We start from the raw sequence: 16,847 nt of genomic DNA on the forward strand, positions 1-16,847 counted from the left end.
ATGTGAAAAGACCAAACCTACATTTGATTGGTGTGCCTAAAAGTGAAAGGGAGAATGAAACCAAGTTGGAAATCACTCTTCAAGATATTATCCAGGAGAACTTCCCCTACATAGCAAGGCAGGCCAACATTCAAATTCAGGAAATACAGAGAACACCACAAAGACAGTTATCAAGAAGAGCAATCCCAAGACACATAGTCATCAGATTCAACACGGTTGAAATGAAGGAAAAAATGTTAAGAGCAGCCAGAGAGAAAGGTCGTGTTACCAACAAAGGGAAGCCCATCAGACTAACAGCAGATGTCTCCGCAGAAACTCAACAAGCCAGAAGAGAGTGGGGGCTAATATTCAACATTCTTAAAGAAAAGAATTTTCAACCCAGAATTACATATCCAGCCAAACTAAGCTCCATAAGCGAAGGAAAACTAAAATTCTTTACAGAAAAGCAATTGCTGAGAAATTTTGTCATCACTAAATCTGCCTTACAAGAGTTCCTGAAAAAAGTGCTAAATATGGAAAGGAAAAACCGATACCAGCCACTGCAAAAGTATACCAAATTGTAAAGACCATCAATGCCATTAACAAGCTGTCAAATAACAGGCAAAATAACTGGGTAGCATCATGACAGGATCAAATACACACATACCAATATTAACCTTAAATGTAAATGGGCTAAATGCCCCAATTAAAAGATACAGACTAGCAAATTGGATAAAGAGTCAAGAACCACTGGTGTGCTGTATTCAGGAGACCTATCTCATGTGCAAAGACACACATAGGCTCAAATAAAGAAATTGAGGAATATTTACCAAGCAAATGGAAAGCAAAAAAAAAAAAAAAAAAAAAATAGCAGGGGTTGAAATCCTAGTCTCTGATAAAACAGACTTTAAACCAACAAAGATCAACAAAGACAAAGAAGGGCATTATATAATGATAAAAGGATCAATGCAACAAGAAGAGCTAACTATCCTAAATATATATGCACCCAATATAGGAGCATGCTGATTCATAAGGCAAATTCTTGGAGACCTACAAAGAGACTTAGACTCCCAGACAATAATAGTGGGAGACTTTAACACCCCACTGTCAATATTAGACAGATCAAGAGGACAGAAAATTAACAAGGATATTCAGGACTTGAACTCAGCTCTGGAGCAAGTGGACTTAATAGACATCTACAGAGCTCTCCACCCCAAATCAACAGAATATACATTCTTCTTAGCACCACATCACACTTATTCTAAAATTGACCACACAATTGGAAGTAAAACACTCCTCTGCAAATACAAGAGAATGAGAATCATAACAAACAGACTCTAAGATCATACGGCAATCAAATAAGAACTCAGGATTAAGAAACTCACTCAAAACCACACAACTACATGGAAAATGAACAAGCTGCTCCAGAGTGACTACTGGGTAAATAACAAAATTAAGGCAGAAATAAATAAGTTCTTTGAAACCAATGAGAACAAAGACACAATGTACCAGAATGTCTGGGACACAGCTAAAGTAGTGTTTAGAGGGAAATTTATAGCACTAATTGCCCACAAGAGAAAGCAGGAAATTTCTAAAATTGACACCCTAACATCACAATTAAAAGAGCTAGAGAAGCAAGACCAAACAAATTTAAAAGCTAGCAGAAGACAAGAAATAACTAAGATGAGAGCAGAACTTAAGGAGATAGAGACTCAAAAAAACCTTCAAAAAATCAATGAATCCAGGGGCTGTTTCTTTTGAAAAGATTAACATAATAGACCACTATCCAGACCAAGAAAGAAGAAAAGAGAGAAGAATCAAATAGACACAGTAAAATATGATAAAGGAGATATCACCACTGATCCCACAGAAATATATTACTACTATCAGAGAATACTATAAACACCTCTATGCAAATAAACTAGAAAATCTAGAAGAAATGGGTAAATTCCTGAACACATACACCCTCCCAAGACTAAATCAGGAGGATGTCGAATCCTTGAATAGGCCAATAACAAGTTCTGAAATTGAGGCAGTAATTAATAGCCTACCAACCAAAAAAGCCCAAGACCAGTTGGGTTCACAGCCAAATTCTACCAGAGGTACCAACAGGAGCTGGCACCATTCCTTCTGAAACTATTCCAAACCATTGAAAAAGAGGGACTCCTCCCTAACTCATTTTATGAGGCCATTATCATCCTAATACTAAAACCTGGCAGAGCCACAACAAAAAAAGAAAATTGCAGGCCAATATCACTGATAAACATTGATGGGAAAATCCTCCAAAAGCAACTCTCAAAATGAATCCAGCAGCACATCAAAAAGCTTATCCACCACGATCAAGCCGGCTTCATCCCTGGGATGCAAGCCTGGTTAAACATACACAAATCAATAAATGTAATCCATCACATAAACAGAACCAATGACAAAAACCACATAATTATCTCAATAGATGCAGAAAAGGCCTTCAATAAAACTCAACACCCTTTTATGCAAAAACTCTCAATAAACTAGGTATTGATGGAATGTATCTCAAAATAACCAGAGCTATTTATGACAAACCCACAGCCAATATCATACTGAATGGGCAAAAGCTGGAAGCATTCCCTTTGAAAACCAGCACAAGACAAGGATGCCCTCTCTCACCACTCCTATTCAACATAGTATTGGAAGTTCTGGCCAGGGCAATCAGGCAAGAGAAAAAAAATAAAGATATTCAAATAGGAAAAGAGGAAGTCAAATTGTCTCTGTTTGCAGATGACATGATTGTATATTTAGAAAACCCTATTATCTCAGCCCTAAATCTCTTTAAGCTGATAAGCTACTTCGGCAGAGTTTCAGGATACAAAATCAATGGGCAAAAATCACAATCATTCCTATACACCATTAATAGACAAACAGAGAGCCAAATCCTAAGTGAACTCTCATTCACAATTGCTACAAAAGAATAAAATATCTAGGAATACAACTTACAGGGGAAGTGAAGGACCTCTTCAAGGAGAACTGCAAAGCACTGCTCAAGGAAATAAGAGAGGACACAATCAATTTGAAAAACATTCCATGTTCATAGACAGGGAGAATCAATAGAGTGAAAATGGCCATACTACCCAAAGAAATTTATAGATTCAAGCTACCATTGACTTTCTTCACAGAATTTGAAAAAAAACTACTTTAAATTTCATATGGAACCAAAAAAGAGCCTGAATAGCCAAGACAATCCTAAGCAAAAAGAACAAAACTGGAGGCATCATGCTACCTGACTTCAAACAATACTACAAGGCTGCAGTAACCAAAATGGCATGGTACTGGTAACAAAACAGACATACAGACCAGTGGAACAGAACTGAGGCCTTAGAAATAATGCCATACATCTACAACCATCTGGTCTTTGACAAACCTGACAAAAACAAGCAATGGGGAAAGGATTCCCTATTTAATAAATGCTGCTGGGAAAACTGGCTAGCCATATGCAGAAAACTGAAAATGGACCTCTTCCTAACACCTTATACAAAAAATAACTCAAGATGGATTGAAGACTTAAACGTAAGATCTAAAACCATAAAAACCCTTGAAGAAAACCTAGGCAATACCATTCAGGGCATAGGCATGGGCAAAGACTTCATGACTAAAACACTAAAAGCAATGGCAACAAAAGCCAAAATTGACAAAAGGGCTCAAATTAAACTAAAGAGCTTCTGCACAGCAAAAGAAACTATAATCAGAGTGAACAGGCAACCTACAGAATGGGAGAAAAAAGGCAAAGGCTGATATCCAGAATCTATGAGGAATGTAAACAAATTTACAACAAAAAGCAAATAATCCCATCAAAAAGTGGGCAAAGGATATGAACAGACACTTCTCAAAAGAAGACATCTATGCAGCCAACAGACACATGAAAAAATACTCATCATCACTGGTCATTAGAGAAATGCAAAACAAAATCACAACGAGATACCATCTCACGCCAGTTAGAATGGTGATCATTAAGAAGTCAGGAAACAACAGATGCTGGAGAGGATTTGGAGAAATAGGAACGCTTTTACACTGTTGGTGGGAGTGTAAATTAGTTCAACCATTGTGAAAGATAGGGTGGCAATTCCTCAAGGATCTAGAACGAGAAATACAATTTGACCCAGCAATCCTATTACTGGGTATATACCCAAAGGAATATAAATCTTTCTACTATAAGGACATATGCACACATATGTTTATTGCAGCAGTATTTACAATAGCAAAGACATGCAACCAACCCAACTGCCCATCAGTGATAGACTGGATAAAGAAAATGTGGCACATATACACCATGGAATACTATGCAGCTATAAAAAATGAGTTCATGTTCTTTGCAGTGACATGGATGAAACTGGAAACCATCATTCTCAGTAGACTAACACAGGAACAGAAAACCAAACACCAGGTTCTCACTCATAAGTGGGAGTTGAACATTTGAGAACACATGGACATAGGGAGGGGAACATCACACACCAAGGCCTGATGGGGGCTGGGGGTCTAGGGGAGGGATAGCATTAGGAGAAATGCCTAATGTAGGTGATGGGTTGATGGGTGCAGCAAACCACCATGGCATGTGCATAGCTATGTAACAAACCTGCGTTTCCTGCACATGTACCCCAGAACTTAAAGTACAATAAAAAATAATTTTTGCTAAAACATGCTAAGAATCATCTGAACCTTCACTGATTTGCAGCTTTTTTGTTAGTCTCTCTATTGATGGATGCTGACTGATCAGAGTGGTGGTTGCTGAAGTTTGGAATGGCTATGACAATTCCTTGAAATAGACAACAATGAAGTTTGTCACATTCATTAACTCTTCCTTTCATGAAAGATTTCTCTGTAACATGTAATCTTCTTGGGGGATTTTACCCATATTAGAACTTCCTTCAAAATTAGTCAATCTTCTTAAACTCTGCAACCATTTTATCAACTAAGTTTATGTAATATTCTAAATACTTTATTGTCATTTCAACAATGTTCATAGCATCTTCACCAAGAATAGAGTCCATCTCAAGAAAACACTCATGAGATTGGAACAATTCAGTCACATCTTCAAGCTCTACTTCTGATTGTAATTCTCCAGCTATTTCCATCACATCTACTCTTACTGCCTCTACTTGAGAAGTCTTGAACTCCTCAAAGTCACCCATGAGTTGGCATCAACTTCTTCCAAATGCCTCTTAATATTGATATTTTTACCTACTCCTGTCAATATTAATCATGAGTATTCTTAATAGTATCAACAATGGAGAATCATTTCCAGAAGGTTTTCAATTGATTTTGCCCAGGTCCATCAGAGTAATCCCCATCTATGGCAGCTGTCCCTGTATTAAATATATTTCTTAAATAATATGACATGAAACTTTGAAATTCCTTTTTCATCCATGGGCTGCAGAATGGATTTTGTGTTAGCAGGCATGAAAACTACATTAATCTTTTTCATCTTCATCAGTAGTCTTGGGTGTCCAGGAACATTGTCAGTAAGCAGTGATTATTGGAAAGGAATGTGTTTTGATGTGTGTTTCAGGGTGTGTGTGTGTGTTTCTGAGCAGTAGGTCTCAACAGTGGGCTTAAATATTCAGTAAACCTTGCTGTAAACAGATATGCTGCCATCTAGGCCTTGTTGTTCCATTTCTAGAGCACAGGCAGAGTAGATTCACCATAATTGTTAAGGGACCTATCCTTGCCCTAGGATTTCAGAATGGTAAATAAAAATGGAATTCAACTGATAGCAGCTGCATTAGCCCCTAACAAGAGTTCGCTGAAGCTTGGAAGGCAGACATTGACTTCCTTCCTTTTTTTTTTTTTTTTTTTGAGACAGAGTCTCGTTCTGTCACCCAGGCTGGAGTGCAGAGGTGTGATCTACACTAATTGCAGCCTTTGCCACTGAGGTTCAAGCAATTCTCCTGCCACAACCTCCCAAGTAGCTGGGAATACAGGCATGCACCGCCATGCCCGGCTTATTTCTGTATTTTTAGTAGAGATGGGGTTTCACCATGTTGGCCAGGATGGCCTTGATCTCCTGACCTTGTGATCTGCCTGCCTCAGCCTCCCAAAGTGCTGGGATTATAGGCATGAGCCACTGTACCTGGCTTGACTTCCTTTTACCTATGAAAGTCTTAGATGTCATCTTCTTCTAATATGAGGCTATTTAATGGATACATCAAAAATCTGTTTTTTAATGAAGCCGTATTCATCATTAATCCTAGCCCTAGTTATAGCTTCTAAAGCTCCTGCAACAGCACTTGTTTCTTCATCTTGTAATTTTATATATGGTGACAGTATCTTTTCTTGAGTCTCATAAAGCAACATTTGCTATCTTCAAACTTTTTTTTCTGTACCTTCCTCACCTCTCAGCCTTTATAGAATTGAAGAGAGTTAGTATCTTGCCCTGGATTAAGATTTGGCTTAAGGGAATGCTGTGGATGGATTGATCTATCCAGGCCACTAAAACTTTCTCCTTATCAGTAAGAAGATTGTTTTGCTTCAAAATGCATGTGTTCACTGGTGTAGCACTGTTAACTTCCTTCAAACACTTTTCCTTTGCATTCACAACTTGGCTAACTGGCAGAAGAGGCTAAGCTTTTGGCTTATCTTGGCTTTCAATATGACTTCTTCACTAGGCTTTTTCTTTTCTAGCTTGTGATTTTAAGTGAGAGACTTGCAATTCTTTCTTTTATTTGAACACTTAGAGGCCATTGTAGGGTTATTCTTTGTTCTAATTTCAATATTATTGTGTCTTAGGGAATATGGAAGCCCAAGGAGAGGGAGAGAGATGGGGAACAGCTAGTCAGTTGAGCTGTCAGAACACATACAACATTTATTCATTAAGTTCCTTGCCTTATGTGGCGTGGTTTGTGAAGCTCCAAAAGAATTACAATAGTAGCATCAATGATGACTGATGACAGATCACCATACCACGTATAATAATAATGAAAAAGTTGAAATACTGTGGGAATTACCAAAATGTGATGCAGAGACACAAAGTGACCACAAGCTATTATAAAAACAGCATATAGATCTGCTGGATGCATGGTTGACATAAACCTTCAATTTGTAAAAAATCTGTGAAGCAAAATCGAGCAAAATGTAATAAAATGAGATATGTCTGTACTTGGATATTGGGTTTTAAAATCCACTTAACCACTTTATCTCTGTGGTTTTGGAAGTTTATTCCACTTAACATTTAAATAATTGCTGATAGGGAAACACTTACTGCTGTCATTTTGTTGTTTTCTGTATGTCTTATAGTTACAGTGCCCCTCTTTTCCTCTTTAGCTACTTTCATTTGTTTCCTTGTTTTTTGTAGTTCCATGCTTTGATCCTTTTATCAATTTCTTTTGTGTACCCCTTATAGGTATTTCTGTGACTCTAATAGGTATTGCATAGAACATACTATAACAATCTATTTTAAATGGATAATAACTTAATCACAGTACACAGATCTTACTTCTTTACATCCCCTCCCCACCTTCTATACCATATATTGGTTTCAAGTTAGTGTCTCTGTTGGGGAATGAAATATAGAGATTTCTATCCCACAATCTTGCTGTTATTAATTCCCTTTTACCTATTTTTAATGGACAAATATACTTGTTAAATTATTATTTTCTATTAAAAATAAGTCACCTAGGCAAGAAATAATCATGTTAATATACTTTATTAAATACTATTAACCGTTTTTAAGTAAGTGAATTTAAACTGATAACTCCATGTCAATCACATACACTGCCTTATAAATACAACTTGTTATATTTTATATCCCTTAAACCACTTGTATAGGTGTAGTTGTGATACAAATTCCACATCTGTGAATTTAGCCTGCCGCAAATCAAAATTGTTAATTAAAATATTACACAACAATAAAAATAATACAAATAAACAGTACAGTATAACAACTACATACATATTTACATTGTATTTGGTATTATATGCAATCTGGAGATGATTTAAAATATACTGAAGGATGTGCATAGGCTATATGCAAATACTACACCATTTTATGTAAGGGACTACAGCAGATGTGAATTTTGGTATGTGAAGGGTGTCCTGGAATCAATCTCCCATGGAGGAATGACTGTATAGTTATTTTTCACAGTTTTATCATTTAAATTCTGTACCACAATAAAAATTACTATGAATACACCTTCATTATTCTGTATTTGTCTACATCTACCTTTACCAGAGGACATTATTTTTTATATGCATTTCTCTTTCTATCTAGTGTTCTTTTACTTCAATTTGAAGAATTGTCTTTAGCAATTTTGTAAAACAGTTCTAGTGGTGATGAAGTCCCATGGTTTTTGTTTATTTAAGAAGATCTGTATTTCTCCCTCAAATTTATTGAACAGGTTTGCTGGGTATGGTATTCTAGATTGGCTGATTTTATTTTTCTTTCAGCACTTTGAATATATCATCCCACTCCTTTCTCCCTATAATGTTTCTGCTGAGAAATGTGTTGATCTATGAGATCTTCCCTTTACCTGCAAAATTGCATTTTTTTCTTGCAGCTTTCAAGATTATCTGTTTATCTGTGACTTTTGACAGTTTGATAATAATGAGTTTCAGTGTGAGCCTTTCTAGGTTCATCCTAGTTGGAGATCTTCAAGTTTCTTCTATTGTATGTTCATTTTCTTCCCCAGATTTGGGACATTTTTGAAAATTATTTCTTTGAATAAGCTCTCTGCCCATCTCCTTCTTTTTTCGGACTTCTATAAAGTGTCTATTGGTCTGCTTGATGGTGTCATATAAATCTCTTAGCATTTCTTCACTTTTCCTAATTCTAATTTCCTTTTAGTCCTCAAATGTCATGCCTTTGAATTCACTTTTTCTTCTGCTTGATAAAATCTGCTATTGATTATCTCTAGTGAATATTTCACTTCATTATTGTATTCTTCATCTTCAGAATTTCTGTGTGGGTTTCTTGTCTTTTCTATATTTTTGACATTTTCAGTTCATGCATAATTTTTCTAATTTTATTTAGCTATCTGTGTTTTTGTTTTAGCACACTGAGCTTCTTTGAGATGATTATTTTGTGTTTTTAAAGATAATTTACAGACCTGGTTTCCACTTGGTTTTCGGTGGTTTATTTTGTTTCTCTGTTGCTTCATATGTCTGTGCTATTATTTTTTTTCTGGGATTTGTGAATTTGAAAAAATCAGCCATGTCTCTTAGACTTTTTCTAACTGATTACACACCGGAAAAGAACTTCACCAATCAGCCTGGGTAAAGTGTCTCCCAAACATTTTCAGGGGATTCATCTTCTCTGGGCATGTAATATCCCAAAAGAGAGGTTTGTTGGTTTCTTTTTCCTGACCTTATAATTACTATTTCCTCTGCTGGTCTGGCTGCAGAACTGCAGGTTCTCTAGTGCTGCAATGAGCCCCTGAACTCTTCTGTGTTCTCTGAGCCTCAGGCATCCAGAGTATGCTATGTCTATCAGTGCACCCAGTCAGTGACACAGAAACCAGACCCTTGTGCACTCCCCCAAAAGCCAGAATATTGGATGAGTGTTTTTTGCTTTTCTTCCACTCTAGAGAGTGGCTGCAAGTTTGACACTTACTTCTGATCACACCAAGTTATTCCAGCTTAGTGGAAGGGCTGTCATGGGTGAAATGAAATGGTCTTTTTACCCATTTTTAATGTGGCTGCTCTTGGCTTTGAGCTTACCTGGGTTACTGTGACTTATTAACTAGTTTCTGGAGCACTCTTCAAAGCTTTCTTAACTATATATTGTTGCAAAGTTGGTGTGTCTATGGGAAGCAAGGTCTGAGGTTTCTATTCCACCATCTTTCTGAACTTCATCAAAGTCAGCATATATATGTGTGTGTGTGTGTGTGTATACACAAACACATATATACACGCATATATATATATATATTTTTTTGAGATGGAGTCTCCCCCTGTTGCCAGGCTCATTGCAACCTCTGCCTCCTGAGTTCAAGCAGTTCTCCTGCTCAGCCACCCAAGTAGCTGGGACTACAGGCGCTTGCCACCACACCAGGCTAATTTTTGTATTTTTAGTGGAGACTGGGTTTCACCATGTTGGCCAGGATGGTCTCGATCTCCTGTCCTTGTGATCATCCCGCCTCATCCACCAAAAGTGCTAGGATTACAGGCATGAGGCACCGCGCCCGGCCCGAAGTCAGCATGTTATTAAACAACTCCCACTGTGTTCCCCAGAAAGGTATGCAAGCACTGGTTGCCCTACATTCTTTCCAATATTTGATGCTCAAATATTTCTTCCAGCCATTCTATTGAGTGTGCAGTGAAATCTTATTGTAGTTTTAATTTGCATTTTCCTGATGACTAATAATAATTATCTCCATATTGTGTGATTATTGGCCATGTGCATATCTTCTTTTGGAAAGCTTCTGTTCAAGACTTTTCCCCATTTTTCTGTTGGTATGTTCTTTTTACTATTATAGTGCATGAATTTTTAAAAATATTATCTATATAAGCCTTTTGCCAGTGATATAAATTACGAAGATTTTCTCTTAGTCTTTGTATATCTACATTTTTCACTTGAGGTTGTCTTTGTTAGCAGAAGCTTTATTTCCTTTTATTGTTTTTGTATCCTCTCTAAGACATACTTGCCTACCCCAAGGTTGCAAAGATATTTTTTCTTATTTTCCTCTAGAGGCCTGTTGCTTTAGCTTTTATGTTTACATTTATAATACATCTTATATTTTTGTGCATCTTACATAAGAATCAATTATGTGTGTGTGTATTTGATATATGTATATATATGATTATTATTTGATCATACATGTTTGGATTTATTTTGAGATACTTTGTTATTTCCACTAATTTACATGTCTATTTTTTTAAATGAAAATCATATTATTTATTATTGTAACATATCCTAAAGTGACCTAGAAGAGGTTCTTCAACTTTGAAATCTGTAAAGATCATTTGGCTATTCTACATCTATTGTATTGCTGCATATATTTCAGAAATCGCATGCCAATTTGCATAAAAAATGTATTGGAATTTTGAATGGAACTAAATTAAATTTATAAACAATTTGGAGATTACCTTTTCATTTATGTTTTCTTCTCAGCAATATATTAGTCTTTTTAATTTGGAATTATTGCATATCTTTCATTAAATTTATTTATATGCATTTTATGTTTTAATTTTATTGTAAATAATATTTTAAAACTTCATTGTCCAGTTGTTTATTGCCAACACATAAAATATAATTTAATTTTATATATTAACATATTGCAACATAGCATAATTCTAGAAAGACTTTTCTGCATTCTTAACGTTTTTCTATATACACGATTGTGTTATCTGCAAATAAGGTTTTGCTTCTTCCTTTCCAATCTACATTTCTTTAATTATTTTGACTTTCCCGTTGCAGTGGCTAAGACTTCCATTTTTATTTTTAACAACGTGTTAAGGGTAGACATCCCTTTCTTTCTCTTGATACTAGTGGGGAATAATCTAGGTTTATTTTGTCATTAGTTAGGGTATCGGATATAGGTTTTTAAAGATGTTCTTTATCAGATAGAGGAGCACATCTATTCCTAGAACGCTAAAGTTTTTAATTTGCTTTTTGTAAAAAACAAAAATTGATGGTGAATTTTCTCAAATATTTTTCTACATACATCAAAATATTACATATATGCTTTCGTTCTTTAGCCTTTTGATATGGTAAATGTTTAAAATGGATTTTGAATGTAAAACCAAGCTTGCATTTCTAGAATAAATACCACTTACTTGGTCATGATGTGATATATTTTTCATATATTACTAGGCTTGGTTTGCTAATATATTGTTTACATTTTTCTTTTTTGCATATGTCCATAAGAGTTGATAGTCTCTTTCTTCTTTTGTAAATTTTGGTTAGATTTTTTTTAATGTATTTGTTCACTTCAACTAAGTTGTCAATTTCTTTCATGAAGTTATTTATCATGACCGCTCATCATTCCTTTTAACATCCGTTAGCTCTCAGTAATGACCCCTCCTTCATTCCTGATGTTGATAACTTGTATTTTCTGTCTCTTTTTTCTAAATTTTTTTTTTGCTATGGGTTTATCTAATTTATTAGTTTCCCCAAATATCTGATATTTGCCTTAATTAATTTTCTTTATTATTTTCTCTTTTCTATTTAATTTTTCCCAGTTTTATTTTTATTTTTCATTTATTTTGTTTGTTTTGCTTTGGTTCAATTTGCTCCTCCATTCTTAAGTTCTTAAGATCATTAAGTTTATACCTACCTTCTTTTGGTGTATGTATTTAAACATTTAAATTTCACTCAAATGACTACTTAAGATTCAGTCACAGAGTTTGATATGTTGTATTTTTATTTTTGTTCAGTTCAAAATGTATATGCTTTAAAATAATAAGTATATACATTTGCTTTAAAGTAATACATATATACATTAAAATGTAGAAGATATAAATGCAAATAAACTTCACAGGAAAAATAACTAAAACATAGTGTGATATTCTTACAGTTTAAAGATTAGAAAAATTATATCCAGATCAGTATAGCGAGAAAGCCTATATTTCCCATCTTAGTTCCAGGAAAATTACAGAATGTGAGAGTAATAAAAGAGAAGAACAATATCTGTTTTTTAGCACATGGACTATTATGTAAGTAGTGTTCCCTATGACCTATGATGTTTGAAATCAAGTATAATATTTCAAATATTAATTGAGCGTCAATTATATTTGTGGGTAATATTTATAAACATTAGTAACTTTAAAAAATATCTTTAGAAAAATCAAATAATCAGAAGTCAGGAACTATTGTGACTCTAACACTTACTAAACTGGGAAATCTTAGAAAATGACAAATCTTTAAGGCATTACTCATCTTTAAAAAATAGATATTAGTAGGCATCTCATTAAAATCTAATATGAAGTTTTTTCATTGCAATTATACAAAATGTGATAATTTTAATGGATACTTGGATACTAACAAAGAGTACCTACAAAAACAGAACATGCAAACATTTTTGCATCATGGAAAATTATAGTTTCTAAGGGTAGGATTTACCACTTGGTTGAAATATGACATTAAATAGAACTCTGTAGACAACCAAAATCTTGTATTATTTTAAGTATGGTTTCTAAGAGCAGGCCACTTTAGATAATTAAACAAAATAATACTTTTTATAAGGCTGTACATTTTCCTTTATAAAGTCTTAATGTTTCTGAAATCAAAGACAAATTTTTGTGAGTCTCTTTTAGTGCCCAGATACCTGTAGTCACTTGGCTTACTTGCAAAACTCTGGCTTTAGTATAACTGAGATAAAATTGTATTGTAATATCTGATTTACTTGATATTACTGAGTATCCTTGAAAGTGTAATGGAATGCATCAGTTTAGAAGGTTATGGCATTCTCACCAGTGGAATGTTATGATTTTGTCTCCTGCAGGTGCTCCAAGTGACCAGAGCAGTGGCACCTCCTCTCCTCTCTGTGACAGTGGCTTACATCTCAACTACCATCCCAACAATACAGTAAGATGACCCAGGCATAGCTCAGATTAATAAGGAGATAACACATAGCTTATAAAAACTGCTAGTGAATCTGATTTATCTGACAGATAGGAAATCCCTGGTTGCATAATCATTTAAGAATTATGATAAACAAGAAATGCAAAATAAATAGATCAGGTTTCTTATGCCATTTTTTTCCCCTCTCAAGTCTGTATGGATTAAGTTCTTTTGAAGCAATAGATACTATTAACTTGGGGATGTCACTGGAGATGTATAATATACAATCATTTTAGAACATTGCACATTATATGTGATTTCAGGTTCAAAATGCTTTGACATTAGTTTTCTCACTTTTTTCTTTTGAAATTACTTAACTAAAAGTAACTATTTAATTTGCTATTTGTTAGGATTTTTTTAGCCAACTTTATTCACAGTAAGCAATTACTGCAAAGTGAGAAAATCCAATTCACACATTATTTTGACATGTAAAGAACGTTTAACTATACATGTATTTAGTAGAAGTTAAAATTAAACTTTGTTTTATAGATATTTAATACAATTTTAATCTTTGTTCTCTACTTGCATTTTGAGTAAATCGATTTTAATATCTTATAAATGTTTTTGAAGTTCCTTGCATTTCATCCTTCAAAACACTCACACATTCTTAAAGAAATAATTTTCTCTGGTTATAAGCAGATCTAACAATCATCTTTCATGCTTACAAACATAAAGAGAAGCAGAGGTGACGTTAAGCAGAATTTTATTGTTCTATTCCACATATCATGGTACATACGTCATATAGCTTCTTCAACCGACTGGTATGATTCATCCTGCAATTTGAAATTTTTGTCAAAATAGTGGCATTTTACTTCAAAGCAATCTTTTTGAACATCTTCAGTCCTGAATGGCTTTCACGGTACCTGATTTCCCTAGTATTACTCCTCAGCTGAGTACCTTAGGCCCTCAAGTTGTCAACTTTTTTCCTTCGTAAAAAGAAATTTGCCAACACCAAAGGTTATCTGTACAAATCTAGGGATATTTTCTAAAACCATCTTCAGCTGGATATATTTCATGTGGCCATCTTTGAAACTTTTTTTTTTTTTGCCAAAGAAATAATTGCCACACAATAAGTGGCATTTAAAACCACAATACAGCATGATTGGAGTGACTTAAAGTTTATGAGGAAATATACAGGTTTCCTAATGAAAAACTTAGATATACAACCAAATTTTTTACCTCTTTATTTTGTAATTGCTTTGCTCACCTTCTTCCCTCCCGATCCAGATGCCTTCGATAATTTCGATCCACTTCTGTTTTCCTTCACCGCGCTGGTGCACCTGCCCTCAGTAGCTGGAGGTGTTGGCTGTGCCCATTCACAGCTTATCCCTCTTGTCTGGATCCCCTTTGCCTGGGAGTCAGAGCTCACAGGGGTGTTTGGCACCACATGCCCTGCTTCCATCAGTCCTCAGAGGTTGTTCCTGAGAGTGCCCCCTCCACGTGTCCCTCACACAAGAATCTCCATCTCACCTCTGCTCCTAAGACAGAAACAAGAGCAACTTACTTCAGAATGGGAGAAAGCTCTTTGGAGCTGTTTTGTTCTAGGTCTTGCCTCATACCCTTGAACTCCTGTATAATAAGCAGAGCAGAGGAGTCAGAGTGGCAGGTCTAAGGGTAGAAATCATTCTGGTTTGTTTTTAATCCATTCCATTGACATATAGAAAAACATATATAGAATAATGTCCTTCCTTATAAAACTGTAATTACAGCAAGAAAATCACTCCAATTCTATAACATCCCAAATAAATTCAGTTTTATAAAATTAAAAATAAAGCAACTGTTATAAATTCTTCTTACTGGAGCTATGTCTCCCCATTTCCAGAGGCACATTTTATTTTCCTTTTAGCACTAGGATTGAACATTCTTTTGACATTGCTGAAGATATTTCAGTGTAAGGAAATTGAAAGTATCATGATGCTATAGAGAATAATAATAAAACCGTATGAAAACAAAATAAAGTATATTCAAAATAAAGACAAAAATCTCAATGCATATCAATTAAATGCATTTTTGTTGAGAACTTACTCTGTGGAAATACCCCTCTAGCTATTTTACTTTGGGGAGCTGTTAATTATGATTTTAACACAAAAAAATTAAGATCCAGATCTATAGACAAAAGCATACAATTAACTATAACATAAGCAGAAAAAGAGAAGAATGAGTAGCAGCATTCTAGTAACAGAGATAAAGAGTTGTAGAGACTTTGACCATCTGACTAAAAATTCAACGTAAGTTGAGAGACTACAAACCAAGTGTGTGCTTTGTTGCTCGCACGGGAGCATTAACCTGCAATGGTAATCAGACCGTGCAGGCTTGCACAGCCAGGGCTAGCACGTGCTGTTCCTTCTGTATCTTGAATAAGCTTTGATGGAGGAATGGCAAGTGGAGAACATCTCTACTCAGAGATGTACAAAATTAGGAGAGGTCAAAGACATGAAATAACAACAGACAGTGGGCACTCAGAAGAAAGAGTGCATTGTGAGGCAAATTTTCTTTCCACAGAATATGTGTATATTATAGACAGTCTATTTAAAAGAAACATTTGATTTTCTGATGTGTGTTAATTCTCAGTTCTATCCTAGGCTCACAAACTGCCTTTTCAATGTCTATACCTTGATCTGAAGCCAATTTTGAGTAGGTATTATTCTGGTTTTCTAACATGTCCTTACTGTATTTTAAGGCAGCATTTTAATTCTAAGGGGAAATAAAGGCTTATAGTATATTAGCATCATTCCACTATCCTACATAAAAATATAATCTATTCCTTCTAAAGATGCGCGACATCACTAATTTGAAGGTACATGAAAGTCACTTGTTTTGCCAACCAAGACCTTGGCTCTTAAGCCCCAGCCCAGATTCACTGAATTTCTTCTCTCTAGAGATGGAGTAGAAGAATTTGTTCTGTGCTTACCAGAAGACTCTGATTCAGATAATCAGCCAACCAGACTGAGAAACATTCTTCTTAACTGTACACCTTTAATTAATACATCCTATGCCACCAAATCCTTAATAAAATCTCAGTTAGCAGTTTGCCCTTTGTGCAGTTCTGTTCTGGTAAGATAGTTGTTCTTGAGGATATTGTGTGGCATGTGTAAAATTTTGGGAAACAAGCAAGGAGACATAATTGCTGCTTTTTCCAGTCACATTATTAATATTGTAGGAAACAACATTCTTGACATTGTAGAGTAGAGCTATTGAAAAATAGTCATGGTTCTCAAAAGCACAAAAGTGATTGTGTTTTTAGACTATCTTTTATGCAAAAATAAATAAACTACTATTCCAAAAAAATGATTAGAAAGTAAATTTATATTCTATTTACATAAATAAAATAAGTAAGGAGAAA

The 16,847-nt window shown here is 34.9% G+C and overlaps 1 protein-coding gene across 21 annotated transcripts in view; it reads left to right on the plus strand.

Annotated features, from left to right (window-relative positions):
• The window catches only part of SNTG1 (syntrophin gamma 1), an 886,897-nt gene that overhangs the window by 606,996 nt on the left and 263,054 nt on the right, over nucleotides 1–16,847 (plus strand). For all 21 annotated transcript variants that reach the window (NR_135796.2, NR_135795.2, NR_135797.2 and 18 more), the window contains one exon: nucleotides 13,386–13,468. Coding sequence is in view for 16 of the 21 variants with exons in the window: in NM_001287813.3 (NP_001274742.1) it covers nucleotides 13,386–13,468 (83 nt within the window). In the remaining 5 variants the exon portion in view is untranslated. The remainder of the gene's footprint in view (nucleotides 1–13,385; nucleotides 13,469–16,847) is intronic.

The sequence above is a fragment of the Homo sapiens genome, chromosome 8 (assembly GCF_000001405.40).
Source record: "Homo sapiens chromosome 8, GRCh38.p14 Primary Assembly".
NCBI classification, from domain to species: Eukaryota; Metazoa; Chordata; class Mammalia; order Primates; family Hominidae; genus Homo; species Homo sapiens.